The sequence below is a fragment of the Homo sapiens genome, chromosome 1 (genome assembly GCF_000001405.40).
Source record: "Homo sapiens chromosome 1, GRCh38.p14 Primary Assembly".
In the NCBI taxonomy this organism is placed as follows: domain Eukaryota; kingdom Metazoa; phylum Chordata; class Mammalia; order Primates; family Hominidae; genus Homo; species Homo sapiens.
In genome coordinates, this window is record NC_000001.11 from 205,757,322 (window position 1) to 205,778,758 (window position 21,437).

The window sequence follows — 21,437 nt, forward strand, 5'->3', positions numbered from 1 at the left end:
TTAATGCCTTACTGAAAACATGGTTTGCAAATATTTTCTCCCATTCTGTAGGCTGCCTTTTCATTTTGTAGATTGTTTTCTTTGCTGTGCGTTATCACCTTCCTCTTAGCTATCTGTATTCAAATCTTGGTACTACTGACTCCGTCTTATGCCTCACTGTTAGTCTTCAAAGTGGAAACCTCTTGATTCCTTCTTCATTGCATTTGTCAAATTCATTTTTCACTTGCCATTTACATTGTCACCATTCATGCTTAAACTACTATAACAGTCTTTCTTCTTTCCTTTTTCTGTAATCTGTAGTAGACACAACAGGCAATACTACCTTCCTGTGGTTTACAGTACTCATATCATTCTCATACTCAAATTTTCAATAAGTCCATACAGCTTCCACAATAAAGGCTAAACTGTGCTAGCATTTAAGCTACCATCAGACAGATTTCTCAAGCCCAAATCTAATATTACTCTACTTAAAATACCTCCACGGGCCAGGCACAATGGCTCACGCCTGTAATCCCAGCACTTCGGGAGGCTGAGGCAAGCGGATCACTTGAGGTCAGGAGTTCGAGGCCAGCCGGACCAACATGGTGAAACCCAATCTCTACTAAAAATACAAAAAAAAAAAAAAAAATTAGCTGGTCATGGTGGTATGCGCCTGTAATCCCAGCTACTGAGGAGGCTGAGGCATGAGAATCAAATCGCTTGTACCCTGGAGGTAGAGGTTGCAGTGAGCTGAGATGGCGCCACTGCACTCCAGCCTGGGAGACAGAGTGAGACTCCGTCTCAATAAAAAATAAATAAAATCCCTCCATGAACTGGGGAAAATATTTGCAATATGTGTGACAAAAGGTTAATGTTCATAATATAAAAAGAACTTTTTAAAAGTCACAAGAAAAAGACAAAATGAAAACAGACATAGGACACAAATAGGTGATTCATACAATAAAAATGACTAATACATTTAAAAATATGATCACTTGTAACAAAAAACAAATTAAAAACATTTTCTAGCATGCACACTGGAGGATTAGAAAAGGTAAATTATTTTAAGAAAATTTAAAAAATATTTCATTTCTTAGATTGGTAAAAGTTGAAAACAGTCTTGTTAAGGATATGGGGAAAATGGCCTCTCAGACCCTACTGGTGGGAGTTTATTTCAAAGTGCATATACTCTGACCCATTTCTAGGAGTTCCTAAAGAAGTTTCACATAAATTTATAAATATGTAAATATGTTAGTTTGTAGCACCGTTTGTAATAGAGGAAAAAGGAATACCTCAAATACCCATCAATAGATAAAGGCCAGGCACAGTGGCTCACGCCTGTAATCCCAGCACTTCAGGAGGCCGAGGCGGGTGGATCACCTGAGTTCAGGAGTTCAAGATCAGCCTGGCCAACACAGTGAAACCTCGTCTCTACTAAAAATACAAAAAATTAGCCGGGCTTCTGGTGGCAGGTGCCTGTAATCCCAGCTACTGCAGAGGCTGAGGCAGAATTGCTTGAACCTGGGAGGCAGAAGTTGCAGTGAGCTGAGATCATGCGACTGCACTCCAACCTGAGCGACAGAGCGAGACTCCGTCTCAAAAAAAAAAAAATAGCTTGGCAACATAAATTATTAATATATCCATATAGTCCTATGCAACAATGAAAAGGAATGAGCTGGAACTGTATGTTCTTAGATGGGAACATAGCCAAGATACATTAAAAAGAAAAAAGCAAACTACAGAAAGCCAAGTATGAGCCTGTTTATTTTATTTATTTATTTTTTTAAGGGGAATGGTTCATAGCTAATACCGTATATGTAGAGAAAAACCTGAAAGGATACTCAAACTCTTAATCAAGTTATCCTTCAGTGATGAAATTAGAGGAAAATTCTCTTATTTATTTGTTTGTTTGGAGATAGAGTCTTGCTTTGTTGCCCATGCTGGAGTGCAGTGGCACGATCTTGGCTCACTGCAACCTCTGCCTTCTGGGTTCAAGCAATTCTCTTGCCTCAGCCTCCTGAGTAGCTGGGACTACAGGCTTGTGCCACCACACCCAGCTGATTTTTGTATTTTTAGTAGAGATGGGGTTTCACCATGTTGGCCAGGATGGTCTTGATCTCTTGACCTTGTGATCCACCCGCCTTGGCCTCCCAAAGTGCTGGGATTACAGGCATGAACCACCGCACCCGGCTTTTTATTTTTATTTTTTGAGACAGAGTCTTGCACTGTTGCCCAGGCTGGAGTGCAGTGGCATGATCTTGGCTCACTGCAACCTCCACCTCCTGGATTCAAGCAACTCTCTTGCCTCAGCCTCCTTAGTAGCTGGGATTACAGGCATGCACTACCACACCTGGCTAATTTTTGTATTTTTAGTAGAGATGGGGTTTTGCCATGTTGGCCAGCCTGGTCTTGAACTCCGGACCTCAAGTGAGCCACCCGCCTCGACCTCCCAAAGTTCTGGGATTACAGGTGTGAGTCACTATGCCTGGTTCCTTTTTAAAAATGTCTATAATTTGAATTTTAAAAAACAGTGTTTATTCTTGGCCCTACTACCAACTAGCTGTGTGACCTTGGGCAAGTTCCTTAACCTTTCTACTACTCAGTTTTCCCATCTTTGGTAGGTACAATAATGACTCCCCCAAAATGTCCATGTCCTAATTCCTGGAATCTGTGAATACGTGAGCAGCGAGTAACGTTGCTAATCAGCTGATCTTGAGGTGGGATAATTAACCTCGATTGTCCCAGTGGGCCTAAGGTAATCACAAGGGTCCTTAAACGTGGAAGAGGAACCAGGCATGGTGGCTCATGCCTGTAATCTTAGCACTTTGGGAGGTCGAGGCAGGTGGATTGCTTGAGGCCAGAAGTTCGACACCAGCCTGGCCAAATGGCAAAACCCTGTCTACTAAAAACACAAACATTAGCTGGGCGTGGTGACGCATGCCTGTAATCCCAGCTACTCAGGAGACTGAGGCATGAGAATCCCTTCAACCCGGGAGGCAGAGGTTGCAGTGAGCTGAAATAGTGCCACTGCACTCCAACCTGGGCGACAGAGCAAGGCTGTTTCCTGCATCGCCCCTCCCGCAAAAAAAAAAAAAACCAATAAAAACAAAAAAAATGACAGTGGAAGAGGAACAGACAGACGTGGTGGCTCATGCCTGTAATCCCAGCATTTTGGGAGGCTGAGACAGGAGGATAGTTTGAGCCCAGGAGTTTGAGACCCACCTGGGCAACATAGCATCCTCTGCCTTGGTCCCCCTAAGTGCCTATCTCTATAAAAAATTAGGAAAAAAAAATTAGCCATGTGTGTTGGTGTGGGCCTGTGATCCTAGCTACTAAGGACACTGAGGTGGGAGGATTGCTTGAGCTTGGGAAGTCCAGGCTGCAGCGAGCTGTGGTCGTGCCACTGCATTCCATCCTGAGCAACAGACTAAGACCCTGTCTCAAAAACAAAATAAAACAAACAAACAAACAAACAAGTGGAAGTGGGAGGCAGAAAAGGTCAGAGTGATGAGATATGGGAAAGGTTTCATCAGCTATAGCTGGCTTTTGAAGATGAAGAAAGGGAACCATGAGCCAAGGAATGTGGGCAGCCTCTAGAAGCCAGAAAAAGCAAGAAAAATGATTCTTCCCTAAAATAGCTGCTAGAGAGGAATGCAGCTCTGCCAACACCAGTTTTACCCGAGAGAGACCCATTTTGGACTTCTGACCTCTAGAGCTGTAAGATAATTAATTTGTGTTGTTTTAAGCCACTTATAAAAGAAGTAATGTTTATGTTTTTCAATAAGAAAAAAAAAGATTAAAAATGCCCTTTCAATAGTTCTCTACAACAGGGTGAAATCCAGGCCAGATGTGGTGGCTCACACTTGTAATCTCAGTACTTTGGGAGGCCAAGGTTAGAGGATCACCTGAAGCCAGGAGTTCGAGGCTGCACTGAGCTATGACCACATTACTGCACCCTAGCCTGGGTAACAGAGCAAGTCCCTGACTCTTAAAAAAAAAAAAAAAAAATGGAGCCTAAACACTTCAGCATGGCATACAGACTCTCATTAATTTGACCCAAACTCCAATCTCATTTTCTCACCTCTACCTTTGCTATGATCTGTATGTTTTGTGTCCTTCCAAAATTCATTTCTGTTTTTTCTGAGGCAGGGTCTTGCTCTGTTGCCCAGGCTGGAGTGTAGTGGTGCAATCATAGCGCACTGCAGCCTCAAACTCCTAGGCTCAAGCCATCCTCTGTCTTGGCCTCCCAAAGTGCTGGGATTACAGGCGTGAGCCACCATACCTGGCCCTGTTTTTGTATTTTTTTGTAGAGATAGGGTCTCACTTTGTTGCCCAGGCTGGTCTCAAACTCCTAGCTTCAGGCAATCCTCCCACCTCGGCCACCCAGGGTGCTGGGATTAGAAGTGTGAGTCATTATGCCCAGCCTAAAAATTCATATGTTAAAATCTATTTCCCAGCCAAGCATGGTGGCTCATGCATGTAATCCCCACACTTTGGGAGGCCGAGGTGGGTGAATCACTTGAGGTCAAGCGTTTGAGACTAGCCTAGCCAACATAGTGAAACTCTGTCTCTCCTAAAAATACAAAAATTAGCCAGGCATGGTGGTGCGTGCCTGTAATCCCAGCTACTCAGGAGGCTGAGGCAGGAGAATCGCTTGAACCTGGGAGACGGAGGTTGCAGTGAGCCAAGATTGCACCACTACACTCCAGCCTGGGCAATAAGAGTGAAACTCCATCTCAAAAAAAAAAAAAAAAAAATCTATTTCCCAATGTGTTGGTAGTAGGAGATGGGGCCTTTGGGAGGTGACTAGGTCATGAAGGTGGCAGTCTCCTGACTGGGATTACTGCCTTTATGAAAGACGGCACGGGGAACTTGTTTTGCCCCTTCTGCCATGTGAGGAAGCAGCAAGAAGGTGCCACTTATGAAGAGGAGGGCCCTCACCAGACACCAAATTTGCTGGCACCTTGATCTTGGACATCCAGCCTCCAGAATTGTGAGCAATACATTTCCGTTGTTTATAGATTACCCAAATCTAAGGCATTTTGTTATAGCAGCCTAAACATAGAGAACGCTACAGTCCTCCTGCCAGCTCCAGCTATAATGAATATCCACTATTCTCCAAATTTCCTGTAATCTTCCATTTGGCAAGCTTTTACCCAGCTTGAGCACCCTCTCCTTTACAAGGATTTCCTTGACCTCATCCTCGCCCTCCATCACTACAAGAAGTAAAGACTTGGCGCTCTCTGCACTGAGACACAATTCTTTTTACATGTCCACCTGCTTTCTGGACTGCCCTTCCTAGACAGGAACGTTCTTTTCCCCAGCCCTGCATCCTACATACCTAATGAAGTACCTGGCACATGGTAGGTACATCACTATTGCTTATATTAATGACCTAAACAATCTGCCAATAATCTAAGCTTATTTCCCACCGCTCTAAACATAAACCCTGGATTCTACTGGCTCCTTCCCAAACCTGCATAAGAATTCCAAACTTCTTTTGCCCCAACCTGAAATTCTATCTCACCTCTTGATTTTTATCCATCTTAAATGCTACTTCAAAAACTCTTTCTTGACCTCCTTCTTCTTTGGACTTCAGTGGCATAGGCCTTTATATCCCCTACAACTCCTACTGTAATCATGGACACATAAAAGGTGTGTAATAAAAAATACTCTGTTTAGGCTAGGTGCAGTGGCTCATGTCTGTAATCCCAACATTTTGGGATGCTGAAGTGAGAAGATTGTTTGAGGCTAGGGGTTTGAGACCAGCATGGGCAACATAGCAAGCCCCTGTCACTACTAAAAAAAAAAAAAAAAAATTTTTGTTTAAATATGAATACAATTATGTGAAAAAATATTTGCATAAAAGTTGATTGAAGGCAAATTTATGAAATGTAAATAGAGGTTTTGTTTGGGTTGCTGGGCCCTAGGAGGTTTGGATTTTCCTTTCTTCCGCCCCCTCCCCCGCCTCCCCACCCAGATGGAGTTTCACTCTTGTTGCCCAGGCTGGAGTGCAATGGTGCAATCTGGCTCATTGCAACCTCCGCCTCCCAGGTTCAAGCAATTCTCCTGCCTCAGCCTCCTGAGTAGCTGGGATTACAGGCCTGTGCCACCATGCCCGGCTAATTTTGTATTTTCAGTAGAGATGGGGTTTCTCGATGTTGGTTGGGCTGGTCTCGAACTCCTGACCTCAGGTAATCCGCCCGCCTTGGCCTCCCAAAGTGCTGGGATTACAGGCGTGAGCCACTGTACCCGGCCCATTTTATTTAACGAGTAGGTTTTTCATCTTTCATTATAAAAGTATTGGAAAATTTGTATACCCTTTAATACATTACTGTTTCCACCATATTGAAAACTTGTTAAATGGAAAAACTTCAAGGAGGCACTGTAGTAGAGTAAAGGGCCCAGTTTCTGGAGCAACACCACTTAAGGTTAAAAAAAAAAAAATCACAGTTTGCCACTTGCTAGCTGTTTCATCTTTGAGCAAAGTCTAAATTTTTTGTTCCTCAGTTTCCTCACATATTTATCTCATAGGGTCATTGTGAAAATAAAAATAATCCATGTGAAGTACTTAGGTGAGTACTTGGTTTATACCAAACACTCCGATTAACATTAGCTATTGGCCACAACAGTTGAAGCTGGAATGGCTGTCAAAAATCTCTGCACTTGCAAACAAAAAGCTGATATTCAAAATTAAATGACAGTCACTAAGGTGACATATCTTAGTAAGTGGAACTTGTCAATTAAACAGCTTGGGATATGTCTGCACTGCATGCTATTCTAACTGCACCTAATTTGGCCCCAAATTTAATTACATGCATGTCTCTATTTCACACATGAACATGTTCTCAAAAGATATCTAACACAAACCAAGAGTTTCAAAACCCAAAGGGCTCAGTTCTGTTTCTCTAAATGTCTGGGCTTATTTTCTAAAATAGGTTTTTCAGGCCAAATGTTTCCCAGAAACCTAAATGACAGAATGGAGACAGAGAATGAGAAGACTTGCAGTTATGCCTTGGCTGTATTACAAATTCAACCAGCTGCCTTTCAGTCAAATTTCAAGACATTTGTTCCCTGAAACACAGAATGGGAAGAATTGCTTACTTTCTTATTTCAAAGATAGTGTAAGAGGCATATACAACTCACAGATCTGAGGGACGAATTCTATACAAAATAAATCATAAAATACCTCTTTCCTCTTCCTATCTGCTTTCTTTATTCCCACTAACATATAGTTCTTAATCAGATGAACTTTAACTTGATTGCAAATTAAATTAGACTATAAAAAAAAGGAATCAAAACAGTACCCATCATGATGTGATGGTTAATTTTATGTGTCAACTTGACTGGACCACAGGGCGCCCAAATACTTGGCCAAGACATTATTTTGGGTGTTTCTGTGAGGGTGTTTTGGATGAGATTAACATTTAAATTGGCAGACTGAGTAAAGCGGATTGTTCTTCCCAATGTAGGTGGGCCTCATCCAATCAGTTGAAGGCCTCAGTAGAACAAAATACTACCTTCCCCCAAGTAAAAGAGAATTCTCCTTCCTGACAGGCTTTAAACTGGAACATTGACTTTTCCAGCCCACTAGACAACAGCTCTGCAGATTTTTTTTTTTTTTGAGACAGTGTCTCACTCTGTTACCCAGGCTGGAGTGCAGTGGCATGATTTTGGCTCACTGCAACCTCCGCCTCCCACGTTCAAGTGATTCTCCTGCCTCAGCCTGCCGAGTAGCTGGGACTACAGGCGCCCACCACCATGCCTGGCTAATTTTTGTATTTTCTAGTAGAGATGGGGTTTCATCATGTTGGCCAGGCTTATCTTGAACTCCCAACCTCAAAGGATCCGCTCGCCTCAGCCTCCCAAAGTGTTGGGACTACAGGCGTGAGCCACTGCACCCAGCCAAGCTCTGCAGATTTTGGATTTGCCAGCCTCCATAATTGTGTAAGCCAATTCCTTATAATAAATACACATATATTTATATATCTATATCTCCCTATATGTTTATTTCTATATATCTTTTACTTATAATATTTACCAATCTCTCTTATTGGTTCTGTTTCCCTGGAGAACTCTAATATAGAACAATAAATACCATTATACCAAAACTGCAGCTAAAACTTCAGAGAATTCAGGTCATGCTGGAAAACTAAAGGCAGGCAGGGTTTTTCTAACAACAAAGGTCATATATTCTGACTATATCCTGAAGTCTCTGGTATTTATGGCAGAATAAAAAAATATGTAGAAATATGGTGAAACCCTGTCTCTACAAAAAGTACAAAAATCAGCTGGGCGTGGGGGCATGAGCCTGTAGTCCCAGCTACTCATGAGGCCGAGGTGGGAAGGTTGGAGGATTGATTGAGTCTAGGAGGTTGAGGCTGTAGCAAGCCGAGATCGCACCACTACACTCCAGCCTGCGTGACAGAGTGAGACCCTATCTCAAAAAAAAAAAAAAAAAAAAAAAAAGACATAATGCAAGGCTGGGTGTGCGGTGGCTCATGCCTCCTATAATCCCAGCACTGTGGGAGGTAGAGGCAGGCAGATCACCTGAGCTCAGGAGTTCAAGACCAGCCTGGGCAACATGGTGAAACCCTGTCTTTATAAAAATACAAAAATTGGCCAGGTGTGGTGGCATGCGTGTATAGTCCCAGCTACTCGAGGCTGAGGTGGGAGGATGGCTTGCATCCAGAAGGTCAAGGCTGCAGTAAGCTGAGATTGTGCCACTGGACTGCAGTCCAGCTTCAGTGATAGAGTGAGACCCTGTCTCAAAACAAACAAACAAAACCCAACTCTCTCTATATATAATATATCATATATATAATTATATGTAGAATTCTTTCCAGAATACCTCATTTTCTAGTGACTTCCTGCCTATTCTAACCTGCAGCTTTGGGGGTTATTTGGCTTTAACAGATGAGTCACTTACACAGCTGAGGAAATCTTCCTATACACAGTGAACCAAGAAGGGTGGAGGGGAAGGCTGGGTGCAGTGGCTCATGCCTGTAATCCCAGCACTTCGGGAGGCTGAGGCAGGTGGATCACGAGGTCAAAGATCGAGACCATCCTGTCCCACATGGTGAAACCATGTCTCTACTGAAAATACAAAAATTAGCTGGGTGTGGCGGCAGGCGCCTGTAGTCCCAGCTACTCGGCAGGCTGAGGCAGGAGAATCGGTTGAACGTGGGAGGCGGAGGTTGCAGTGAGCTGAGATCGCACCACTGTACTCCAGCCTGGTGACAGAGCGAGACTCCATCTCAAACAAACAAACAAACAAACAAACAAACAAAAAGGTTGAAGGGGAAAAGTACATTGAGTTTAGTTTCCTTGGGCAATCTGGTTACTAGATTTTACAGAATTCCATGGAAATTTTTACATCCTCTAACCATGGCCTTAGCCACTGCCTACAAAAGTATCAGGCAAGACAGGCCTCACGTTAGATGAGATAGTATCCTGAGGACCGAAGAGAGACCACCTACAGAAAAAGTTAAATCTGGAGATAACAGGAAACAGTGAGGGACCCTACCTGGAGAAAGTGAATTAGGGAAACACCTTGGGGTAATTCTGGCGCAATAGTAGTGATAAAGCAGCAGACCATTCTTTACTGCTAAAGGGCCTTCCCTGACCTACAATCTCCTCTGCTCCACTTATTTGGTCACTCAGCTAAGTGACCAAATTTCTTCTGTTCAAAGAAGAAAGTCAGGGCAGACACTACCCCACAGCTGTGTTCTCAGCCCTCCCTTAGGGTTTCTGAGAACACTCTGGGGGAACTGTTTTCTTTTTTGACCAAAAGCCACCTGAGTGGTTGGAGAGGCATCTTGTCTCAAATGTAGGACCTCCTCTAGGGAGGGGCTACGATATCTACGTTCCAAACAATTTTGGACGCTACCTCTTTTGAATGCACCAAAGAGGTAGCATCCGAGTGATAAGACCTAATTATTTTTAGTAGCATCGCATTTCCATTCATGTAAATATTTTATTTTTCCTAATCATAATTGCTTTTCTCTTATGGATAGGGGCACGAAGAGGAATTAGGTATATTTCAGTTCCTTCTTTAATTAGTTTCAGGCCTATAATGTTCACCAGTTGGGAGAGAATATCCAGAAGGGCTGGCTGGCTGGCCAGCCTCTAACAATGCTTGAAAAGGCAGGTAAATCCTGAGTCAGCAAATGGGAAAAGCAAGCACATTCAGTTTTTCAAAAAGGTCACGTTTCCAAGTAGTATTTGGCATGTTCCATCAAGTACTGAATTGGTACTAGGCAGATGGATCTAAGCAATTGGTATTAGTAAGTTAACAGGTAAACAGAATAATATTTACCTTCATTTTAAAAGAAGGTATTTAACCACATTTCTCACTTGTAAGTGGGAGGTAAACATTGGGCACACACATAAAGATGGGAACAACAGACACTGGAGACTCCCAAAAGTGGGGAGAGAGGGAGTAAGCGTTGAAAAAGTGCCGACTGGGTGCTATGTTCACTACTTGGGAGACAGGCTAAGCAGAAACCCAAGCTTTAGCATCACACAATATATCCATGTAACAAACTTGCACACGTACCCCTTGAATTGAAAATTTAGAAAAAGGTATTTAAAAAATAAAGTCTCCATTTCCGCAATCCTCTTGAGCTATCAGTATAAAACAGCACTTTGACAAACTCACATTAAAGGCCAATAACCACCATGAATACAAGACTTAGTTCTCATTTATTTGTGATTTTGCAGGTGTTCAAACCAATGAATGAAAATCAATTATCTCTTCATATCAATGAAATTCACTATTTCACTATTATCTTCAGAATCATAGTGATCAAAACCCTACCTGAAAATGGTAATACAAAAGAGAACTATTAATACAAGGTTTCAGAAGACTGTGCAAGTTAAAATAATTGGCATTAAAACGACACACAACAAACCACCGAAGGTTTGGTCCCTTTTCTCTCTGATATGTGGCCTCTGATCTCTTTCTTAGGGCAGTGGTTTTCAACGTCTGTGTAGCAGAATCACCTGAAAAGCTAACAGAATATATAGAAACCCAGGATTTGTATTTGTATTTAAATGTAAATACAAAAGGTCTGGGTCTCTGTATCTTTACAAAGTTCTCCAGCAATGGTTTCCAAACCAGGCTTATCACAATCACCAGGGAAGCTCTGAAAACAACAACACATTCCTAGGCTTCATCCCTAGAAATTCTGATTCAGTAGGTTTGAGGTCGGGACCCAAAAATCTTTTTCTTTTTGTTTTTTTTTTTTGGAGATGGAGTTTCACTCTTGTTGCCCAGGCTGAAGCGCAATGGTGTGATCTCAGCTCACTGCAACCTCTAACTCCCAGGTTCAAGCGATTCTCCTGCCTCAGTCTCCCAAGTAGCTGGGATTACAGGTGCCCGCCACCACGCCCAGCTAATTTTTCTTATTTTTAGTAGAGACGGGGTTTCAGTATGTTGGCCAGGTTGATCTTGAACTCCTGACCTCAGGCGATCCACCTGCCTCAGCCTCCCAAAGTGCTGGGATTACAGGTGTGAGCCACCACGGCTGGCTCAGGACCCAAAAATCTTAAAACATTTTTAAAAAATTTTAACAAACTTCCCAGGTATTCCCGACCAGCCAGATTTGGGAACCACTGACTTAGGACACTTATTTAAGGTCTATCACAGAACTTCAGGCCTCAGAGTTTAGTAAGAATATCGATAACTTTGGGTAGGTTATAAATCACCATCCTAGAGATAATTTAACAAATTAAATGGTCTAGTAGTGATTTGATACTAAAAAGCCCTGCCCAATTTAGTACTTAAATTACCTAATGATTTTCTGTCTATCTACTTTCCTCCCCCAGGCTAGGACCTGCACATAATATGTTTCCTATGACTAAGTGCCTACGTGTTCACAAAGTTGCCCCAGTGGAGGTTGTTAACTTCTCTCTTTTCTTCTTCCATTCAGATTCCCAAAGCTGTGAGGAGCAGACCTATTTCGAAGCATCACAGCCAGCTGATGTCACTTGCAGTATTATGCATTAAGACATCAACCCAGAAACCTGCAAATGGGAGACACTAGGCAATCCTATCATGAGGATTAAGCTCTTTGTGGAAGAAAATGCTTTCATTGCATGAGATAGGTAGTTTAAAAATGACTATTCTTTTTTCTTTTTTTTTTGAGACGGAGTCCTTCTCTGTCACCCAGGCTGAAGTGCGGTGGCATGATCTCGGTTCACTGCAACCTCTGCCTCCCAGTCTCAAGCGATTCTCCCACCTCAGTCTCCAGAGTAGCTGGGATTACAGACACGTGCCATCACGCCTGGCTAATTTTTGTACTTTTAGTAGAGACGGGGTTTTGCCATGCTGACCAGGTTGGTCTCGAATTCCTGGCCTCATGTGATCCGCCTGCCTTGGCCTCCCCAAGTGCTGGGATTACAGGCATGAGCCACCATGCCCGGCCAAAAAACTTGACTATTCTTGATGCCAAGACAAGAGAAACTTAATTATGACGTTAGAAGTTTCAAAAATACAGTGACTTCTGGGACACTTCTAGTAGCCAAAAATCCACAGATGCCCAGACCCCCTCCTTCTGCATTCCAGAATCAGATGTTTACATTCCAAGACAGAAAGAATCTGAAACAACGGCCTACAAGAAATTTGGGAAATGACATTTGATCTCATTTTCCTCTCAATTGGAAGTCATGATATCAATGAATATCAAATGGAAAAATAAGCTCAGAAGTAGGTGAGAATTATGATCTCTAAAACGCAGGTGCTGATTTCTAATCCTTCTCATAAAATTCCGGATCACAAATTGAGGGCTGATGAGAAGATCTTACACCGAAGGCACTAACTGGCACTAATGTGAGCCAGCAACATGTGAAAGGCTAATCCAGGAGATGCAGAAATGCACATGGGTTCCAGGTGTCTTTTCTAAGTGACAATGGGCCTCCTTACTGGACAGTAGTCAGGAGACAATTCAAATGTACTTAATAAAATTGTCAGGTGGGCAACCAAAGGGAAGAGACTTAAAAGACCTCCCAGAACTGGGATGGAAAATAAGCCAAACACTACTAGCAGCAGGACCAGCTGGAGGACTTGGTTTGTAGATTGATGTAGTCCCCTTGGGTGGACAAAGACATGATATCTTCTGTGGAATTTCTCATCATCTTTTCAATGAGGACTCTAAAAGACAAAAAATAAGCCTGAGAAGCTTATTTTGGAGGAAAAGCAGAAATGGCAGATGTAGTCTGACTTATCATCAGAGAGTATTTGGTAAAGCCAGAAGGTTTAAATGCCCCTTTGTCCCCAGTTATCTCAGGAAAGACAGTATCCCTGACCTTTAGGGGCTAGCATTCCAATGGCTCAGTCTGTCATTGTTGGCTCAGAAATAAGAAAAGAGGGTCCACAGGGCCACAGTGGAAGATGGATACATCTGCATGCCTATCAGCATGAGCTACTTACCTCATAGCCTCATTAATATTTTTGTTCTCCTTGACTGATGTTTCTGTCCAACCTGTGAAACCGTTCTCTTTACTGAACCGGTCAATCTGGTCCCGGCTCACTGCCCAAGGGGACAGATCACACTAGCAAAGAGAAAAAATAAAAGGCAGTATCATAAACTTCCTGCAACTAAGAAAGAATATGGCTCAGATACTGTGGATTTTAAACATATTTCCACCAATGGATAAGAACACCAGCATCGGAAATCTATAATCAACATTCTTCCCAAAGAAAGTCTCACCCTTGGCTGGGCGCAGTGGCTCACGCCTGTAATCCCAGCACTTTGGGAGGCTGAGGCGGGCAGATCATGAGGTCAGGAGAGCGAGACCATCCTGGCTAACACAATGAAACCCAGTCTCTACTAAAAATACAAAAAAATTAGCTGGGTGTGGTGGTGGGCACCTGTAGTCCCAGCTACTCGGGAGGCTGAGGCAAGAGAATGGCGTGAACCTGGGAGGCAGAGCTGGCAGTGAGCCGAGATCGCGCCACTGCACTCCAGCCTGAGCAACAGAGCGAGACTCCGTCTCAAAAAAAAAAAAAAGAAAGAAAGTCTCACTCACCCTCAACATCCTTTGAAGGAGGTAGAGATGATTTTGCCAACTTAAGAAGGGGAAATGGATGCCCAGAATCAGAGAGCATTTTACTTCCTTTCTAACCACAGATAGAGGCTAGGGACCATTTTCTGAGATTGGCCACATACCTTGTTGGCCAAGAGCAGGCAGGGCACCGGCTCTCCATTGGGTAGTGTGAGCTTGCTGTCTAGGTCCTGTTTCCACCTCTGGCTGTTGCTGAAGGTAGTGGCATTGGTAACGTCAAACATAATAACACAGGCAGAGGCATCCCGATAATACAATCGTGTCATAGAGGTGAAGCGCTCCTGCCCTGGGGAGAAAGGGGAGAGTTCTCAAGGTGACCCAAGAGCCGGCCTCTCCCCATTCCTTGTAGAAGAGGGCAGTAAGCATATGTGTCAGATGGGGCCACTCACTTTCCCCCTCTGACTCTTGGTTTTCTATCCCATAAAGGGATAATGAAGCCCAATTATTTCCAAGGCAGATTCCGCACCCAGATTGCTCCAGTCCAAATCCCTGCTCTGCTGCATACTATTTGACTTCGGGCAAATCAAGCTCTCAGTGCTTCAGATTTCTCATTTGTAAAGTGAAGATAAAAGCAGTCGCTTTTTTTTTTTTTTTTTGAAACAGTTTCCTGCACTCCTGTTGCCCAGGCTGGAGTGCAGTGGTGCCATCTAGGCTCACTGCAACCTCCACCTCCCAGGTTCAAGCAATTCTCCAAAAGCAGTAGCTTTTATGATAGGGTTGATGTGAGGATTAATGAGTCAGTGAATTTAAAATACTTAGAAGAATGCTTGGCACATAGTAAGGATTCACTATTTTTACTGTATCTATTTTCTGGGGATCTTGTTTTTCACCAAGGTCAGCCTTAAACCTAGAAAAAGCACCCTCCCCTGCTGTGGGAGTGTCCACCTATAGTCTGGACAATCCACCACCTTGCCAGCCCCTCCATCCACATAGAGACTGCTCCAGATCTATTCAGGGCAAAACATCTACAAAAGCTCTGCACCTATTCAGCTCATGTGTCCTCAGAGCAGCTCAATCATTCCAGCTTCAGAAAAACAATTTCTGGCTTTGCTGCCCCATTTTTTCCTCAGAGCTTTCTAGTTAAATCAAAATTTCTTCCCTTGTTCCTATCTAGCCCTCCCACTTTACCTGCAATATCCCACAGCTGAAGCCGCACTATCTCGTAGTCAGACCACTGGAGAACCTTCAGAGCAAAATCCACTGAAAATATATGTACATTATACTTTAATAAAATTTCACTGTAAAAAATTAATAGGGATAAACTCAAATCAAATAGGCAGTGAAACCCTATGGACACACAACTCCAATCCCATATGTTTAACTTTAAGCCCTCAATTCACTGAGATGAGTCCACATGCGTGTATTTAGTGTGAGATGGATGATTCATACTCACTCTCCAAAGGGGTTTCCAGCTTTTACTCTACTGTCAAGCTCATTTATTTGCTACTGTTTGTCTCCAAGACTGGGGGTGGGAGTAACTATGAAAACAATTCTCATTCTCAGGTTAAATAGTTTCTGGGAGATTTAGGGGGTTTTCTCAGGGAAGGGGTGATGGGGGAGAAGGGGGAAATGAGACAAGTGTGGTTGCTTTCGTATCTTCCACATTCAATTTCACTGTTGGTTTCTAATCAAATTGTATTATGAAAAGAACACACCCTGGGGAACTCTACATCCACCATAAGGTTGCAGGTATTATCTTGGGCAAGAATGGAATAAATGGAAAAGGTCCCAGAGGAGTCCCAAGAAGAAGACACTGTGTGGATGTTGCTGAAGAGTCCTGCTGGAATCTACCACCAAGTCTGCAGGTGCTGAGACTCCTTAAGGCTGAGTAAGTATTCCATGGGGAAAGCCTTTTGGCTAAGGAGAGAAACAGAGTAATTTCTGAGGTTTGGAAATATTATCTTTCACATCTGTGACAGGAATCAAAGCTAAGGGAAATTTAGACTAAACACTGAAAAAAAAATTAGCCAATTATATTCTTTGCTAAAGGAAAACTACAGCAATTGTTAAAAATTAACTATTAATAGCAGGCCACTTTTAACCCAAATCCGTGAAATAGGGACCCTTATATTATTTAGGAGTGGGAGGGCAGAGCGGTCAGGATAGAGTGTCTGAAACTTTGAACCTTTAATTTTGCCAGACTTAAATTTTTTGTTCCTTTGTTTTTGAGACAGGGTCTCACTCTGTTGCCCAGGCTACAGTGCAGTGAGTGGTGCGAACGGGGCTCACTGAAGCCTCGACCTCCCCAGTTCAAGCAATCCTCTCGTCTCAGTTTCCCGAGTAGCTGGGACCACGGCTACTTTCTTCTTTAATTTTTGTAGAGGTGGGGGTCTTGCCATGTTTCCCATGGCTGGTCTCGAACTCCTGGGCTCAAGCAATCCTCCCGCCTCAGCCTCCTAAAGTGCTGGGATTGCAAGTATGAACCACGGTACTGGGCCCTACTGGGGGTTCTTAAGGAGAATGTTTTAATTGCAATGTAAATGTTTGTTAATTTCTTTTTAAACTTCCATATGAACAGGAGCACACATTTTCAATTTTTCCATTGGTACGAGTTTTCCCCCCTTGAAACAAGTTCTTTTAACAGAGAGAAATAAAATTTTAAGTTACTCTCCCCCATCACCAGCTCTTCCTAGCTAAATACCTTCTAATTAACAATAAGGCATTTCTGCCTCTGAAAAAATAGTTGAGTCCAAAGGCCACACCCGGGAAAGAAATGAATGAACTCGGTGTCCCCTTCCTCCCTACCTTCTCCAGTTTGAGGAAAAAAGTGGTGGGAAGATAGGTCAGAGAAGTGGTATATTTCACATTCTTGGAAGAATTCCTTGGTTACCTTTATTTAAGCAATCAACGGACAAAAACACAGCTCATCAGCCCTCATGGGCATCTGACTGCGTAGCCAAGGGGCTCGTTCGGGGATTTTGTGTCTTCCATCCCACCCACAGCCCCACAACAAAGCTACAGTCCTTCAGACCAGTTCCGCTTCCTGCGTTCTCCCACTGAAGCCAGGTTAAACACCTTGCGGTTCCTCCCTCAACAGAGGGGCAGGACTACAGCCCCAGCCGGCACCTAACCAGGAGGCCCCACAGAGGATCTCAGCTGCTTCTGCTGATTGGAGAGATTTGCCGGACAGCTGAAAGGCTGGAGACTTAAGTTCACAGTACGCCTGCAATAAACAGCAATTGCTCATCCTCATCCTCCCTTCCCTATTTCTCATCTTCACGCCTTTGCTCTTACCTTTCTCCTGGCAGTGGGCTCAGTTTGGGAAAATCTAACGGGAAACTCAAGAGAGGCGTGTAAACCAAACACCCGGCAATTACACCATCTAGGTTCCCAGACAGTACTTCCTGACCCGAAGAAGGACCCAACAACCGACAGCAAATCCCCACCCCACTTGGGTCCCCAGCTCGAGTCCGCGGTCGGGGCCTCCTCCTCCCCCTCCCCCTCCCCACCCCCGAGACGTCTCACCTCCCACCGTGGACTTGTAGTGTTTGCTGAAGCTGTCCTGGGAATATCGCTGCACCAGCGACGTCTTGCCCACTGCGGCGTCCCCCACCACCAGCACTTTGAACAGGTGGTCGCGGCTGCCCATGGCTAGCGGGGTGTGCGTTTTAGGGAGGCGGGAAGTGTGGTCGGGGATCGGGGGTCGCTCGTTTTAACCCCTTTGGATCCGGACCCTCTTCAAACTGAAGTGAGGCATTCCCACCCACCGCCTGTCTGGGCTGCTCTGACGAGAAAGCAAAAAAGGAAACTTTGCACTCAACCTATACGCGCTTCCTCCCCGGGCGGCCGCAACCTGGGTGGGGCGCAGGGCGCGAGCTCCGAGCCCCCGGCTGTTCGCACCTTCCCCACCCCCTCCTGGCCTGACTGCCGAGAAACTGGACCAGGCGCCGCGGAACCTCACCCACCGGGACTTCCCCCGAGCGGCTCCAAGTCAGTGACTGAATCCCAGTCAGCTCCTTACACCACTGGGGCCAGATGATGGGGACCCTCCCCTTGCAGCACAAACCAAATTGTGAGGAAGGAGCAGCCGGCACCTCGATTCCCTAGACGCCCTCCCGCGCGCCTCTCTCTCCCCTTCCTCCGCAAGCGTCACGTGCAGGGTTGCCTGTGGCACTACATTTCCCAGCTTTCCTCGCGGTAAAGAGAACCAGCCGAGTGCGGAGGCTCACCGCGAAGCCTCCTGGGAAATGTAGTATATTCGTTATTTTGTTTTAAGCAAACCTACACCAAGTTTCAAGGCTTCAAACTCCCTCGACAGTTTGGAATCTTATTTTGAAACAATTCTAGGTCAGTAAAGATCCCTTAAGGGGAGATTTGTGCAACGTGATCTCACTGGCCTGAATCCATCCCCAGATAGTTTTCTCCTGTCTTTAAAGGTTTAACTGAGTTAAGATTGAAACTTATTTCATTAGTAAAAGCCCAAGCCTCATCCATCATGCTCCAAGTGAAGTCCATTTCCTATTCCTTCAAGTAGATAGACAAGCCCAGGACTTTGTGAAATGACTCATATTTTCTGTGTGAACTTGCCCAATACCAGGCAAGTTCAGGAAAACTTGACCCAAGAGACCAGTCTTTGGAAAAAAACCTATGCCAAAAATTACAGCATTTAATATCCAGCAATAACAATAAAGATGGACAGAAAACAAGAGACAGTTCTCCATTCATACTTCTACAATGCCTATTCTAGCCATACTACTCATGTATCACTTGAGCTAGAAGCTAATTGAAATACACTGGGACTCCTTCTTGATTTGTTGTGGCTGTTGTTAATAGATAATCATAAAACTAGTGTTTGGCAAATAATTTTAATTTCTCAGCCTGTAACTTTACTGACCTACCTGTCACTTGGGTAGAAGTTGGCAGGACATGAGCTCAATGGCAAGCAAAGAGAGCTCCATTTTCTATACTTTTCTAGGAATAGAGGAAGAGAACCAGCGGGGCCATGGGAAAACAGCCCAGGACCAGACACTAGGAAATCTAGGTCTCTTGATAGAGAGGCTATCACTTATGTTTTGTGGCGAAAGAACATCAGCATGGTTCACAATATATTTTGCCCAGAATGTTCGTTACCCAGGTACAGGAGGTTAGTTCAAGCTACTCATCTTTAAGGATCCAGTTTTCTCTGTTCTTATTCGTTTTGACATAGTTGACCACTCCTTGACATTTGTTTCCCTTATGCCTTCTATGACGCTGTTCTTTCTTTGTCATCCCCGTACTTCTCTGATGATTATCTTTTTCTTTCAGGTTTCTCTCCATCCCATTTCCCGCTAAGTATTTCCTAAGGCCTGATTCTTGGTCTCTGAGTCAATCATTCGATAAACTCTTTAGTGAATTGTCCTTGGTGTCAAAGATCTATCTTCACTTTATTTGTTCTTTATCTCTGATCAGTGATATTCTGTCAAGACCAGCTCTGTTGGGGAGACCCTAACCCAGTGGCGCTAGAGGAATTAAAGACACACACACAGAAATATAGAGGTGTGAAGTGGGAAATCAGGGGTCTGATTTCCTTTAGAGCTTTTAGAGCTGAGAGCCCCGAACAGAGATTTACCCACGTATTTATTAACAGCAAACCAGTCATTAGCATTGTTTCTATAGATATTAAATTAACTAAAAGTATCCCTTATGGGAAACGAAGGGATGGGCCGAATTAAAGGAATAGGTTGGGCTAGTTAACTGCAGCAGGAGCATGTCCTTAAGGCACAGATCACTCATGCTATTGTTTGTGGCTTAAGAATGCCTTTAAGCGGTTTTCCACCCTGGGCGGGCCAGGTGTTCCTTGCCCTCGTTCCTGTAAACTTACAACCTTCCAGCGTGGACGTTAGGGCCATTATGAACATGTTACAGTGCTGCAGAGATTTTGTTTATGGCCAGTTTTGGGGCCAGTTTATGGCCAGATTTTGGGGGGCCTGCTCTCAACATGTCCCTCTTCTCTGATTTGCAAATTGATAAATGCAAAGGCAGCTTTGTCACGGTGAGCTACTTCTCGCAGGAGTCAGGATACACATCTGCAGACTATACAAAGACAAACAACACAGATTAAAAGCACAATCATCATTGAAATCACAGAGCTTCCAAGTGTTTTTATCCATTTTCGGCTCCTTTAAGCACTCCAGTTCCTGGCATTAAGGTCAAGTGTGCCTCGGATGCTTTAAATATTTCTTCTTTTAATTTTAAATCCTTATGTTAAGCTCCTAGAGCGGGCCATATCATTTGAGGTTGAGGTGTCACTATACTGCCATGGTTCCAGATAATAGGAACTCTTGCTGTACTTCTTATTATATCTACCATCTGACCATTTTGTTCAGACCAGCTGAACATAGTGTGGCCGTGGCACGCAGACTGAGAGGTGCAATTCAAGCTAAACATCCCCTTAGGGGACCAATTAATAATGATTCCATAGGAATCATTGTGCAGCATCTCTGCCTGTTCTGCAATGCAATCTTCCTAAACAAGTACGTTCATTTTTTCTAACTGGGTCCAATCCTGTTTACAAATAAGTTTTTGAGGGCGGTATGCCTCAATTATAGGAGCAGATTTATTATGGTAAATACTGAGATCAGAAAGCATGTGTAACTGCGTCATAAAGTGATTGCATCCAGGCATTATTGCCAGCCAAGATTGATAAATATACCCAATAAGTATAATTGTTCTCTGTGTCAGCCCTTAATGAAGGAATACTCACGGCACTGGTGATAACCGCTATCATAGCTACCATTAACACTTTATTTGTTCTTTATCTCTGATCAGTGATATTCAGCTGCCCAAAAGGTGCCCCCACTTGGATGTCCTGCCACATCCTTCCTCTTACTACATTGCCATAAAAATAGCTCCTTTTCTCAGCTTCCCTATTTCTGTCACTGGTCTCATCATTTCTTGCCTCCATGTAGACTTCAGATTCTGAGCATTATTATTTCCTTTACACATGTCCCTTTATACCTATTTATTTGTTTGTTTGTTTATTGAGATGGAGTCTCACTCTGTTGTCCAGGCTGGAGTGCATTGGCATGATCTTGGCTCAGTGCATCCTCTGCTTCCTGGGCTCAAGTAACTCTTGTGCCTCAGCCTCCTGCGTAGCTGGGACTACAGGCGCATACCACCAAGCCTGGCTAATTTTTGTATTTTTTTTGTAGAGACAGGGTTTTACCATGTTGGCCAGGCTGGTCTTGAACTCCTGACCTCAAGTGATCTACCCGCCTCAGCCTCCCAAAGTGCTGGGATTACAGGCGTGAGCCGCCGCACCTGGTCTATACCCTTTTAAAAAAAATTCAGTTACCATGTCTGATTGATTGTTTCTTCAGTAAATGGTTTCTCCCACTCATCCTCTCTGCTTCATATTCAGTAATACTTTCCTTTTTTTTTTTTCTCCAACTTTTATTTTAGGTTCAAGGGGT

At 43.8% G+C, this 21,437-nt stretch overlaps 1 protein-coding gene across 16 annotated transcripts, besides 1 other annotated feature; it reads right to left on the bottom strand.

Annotated features, from left to right (window-relative positions):
* Positions 1–10,664: 10,664 nt before the first annotated feature.
* On the bottom strand, positions 10,665–18,161 carry RAB29 (RAB29, member RAS oncogene family). Of its 16 annotated transcripts, none has more exons than XM_005245571.2 (6): positions 18,081–18,161; positions 17,512–17,765; positions 15,175–15,246; positions 14,151–14,332; positions 13,412–13,533; positions 10,665–13,132 (listed from the first exon to the last, which is right to left on the bottom strand). In XM_005245571.2, exons 2-6 carry the CDS (start codon positions 17,633–17,635, stop codon positions 13,021–13,023), a joined length of 612 nt encoding a protein of 203 aa, XP_005245628.1. In that variant the 5' UTR covers positions 17,636–17,765; positions 18,081–18,161; the 3' UTR covers positions 10,665–13,020. The 16 variants fall into 16 exon arrangements, with proteins under 16 accessions (XP_005245628.1, XP_047289461.1, NP_001129134.1 ...); XM_047433505.1 differs by having other exon boundaries at positions 17,512–17,770; NM_001135662.2 differs by having other exon boundaries at positions 18,053–18,161.
* Positions 17,026–17,075: an enhancer, noted in NCBI's record as "active region_2389". NCBI's record gives its function as "activates an Ori minimal core promoter by ATAC-STARR-seq in GM12878 lymphoblastoid cells {active_cell/tissue: GM12878}" and the evidence as "EXISTENCE:reporter gene assay evidence [ECO:0000049][PMID:35858748]".
* Positions 18,162–21,437: the final 3,276 nt, after the last annotated feature.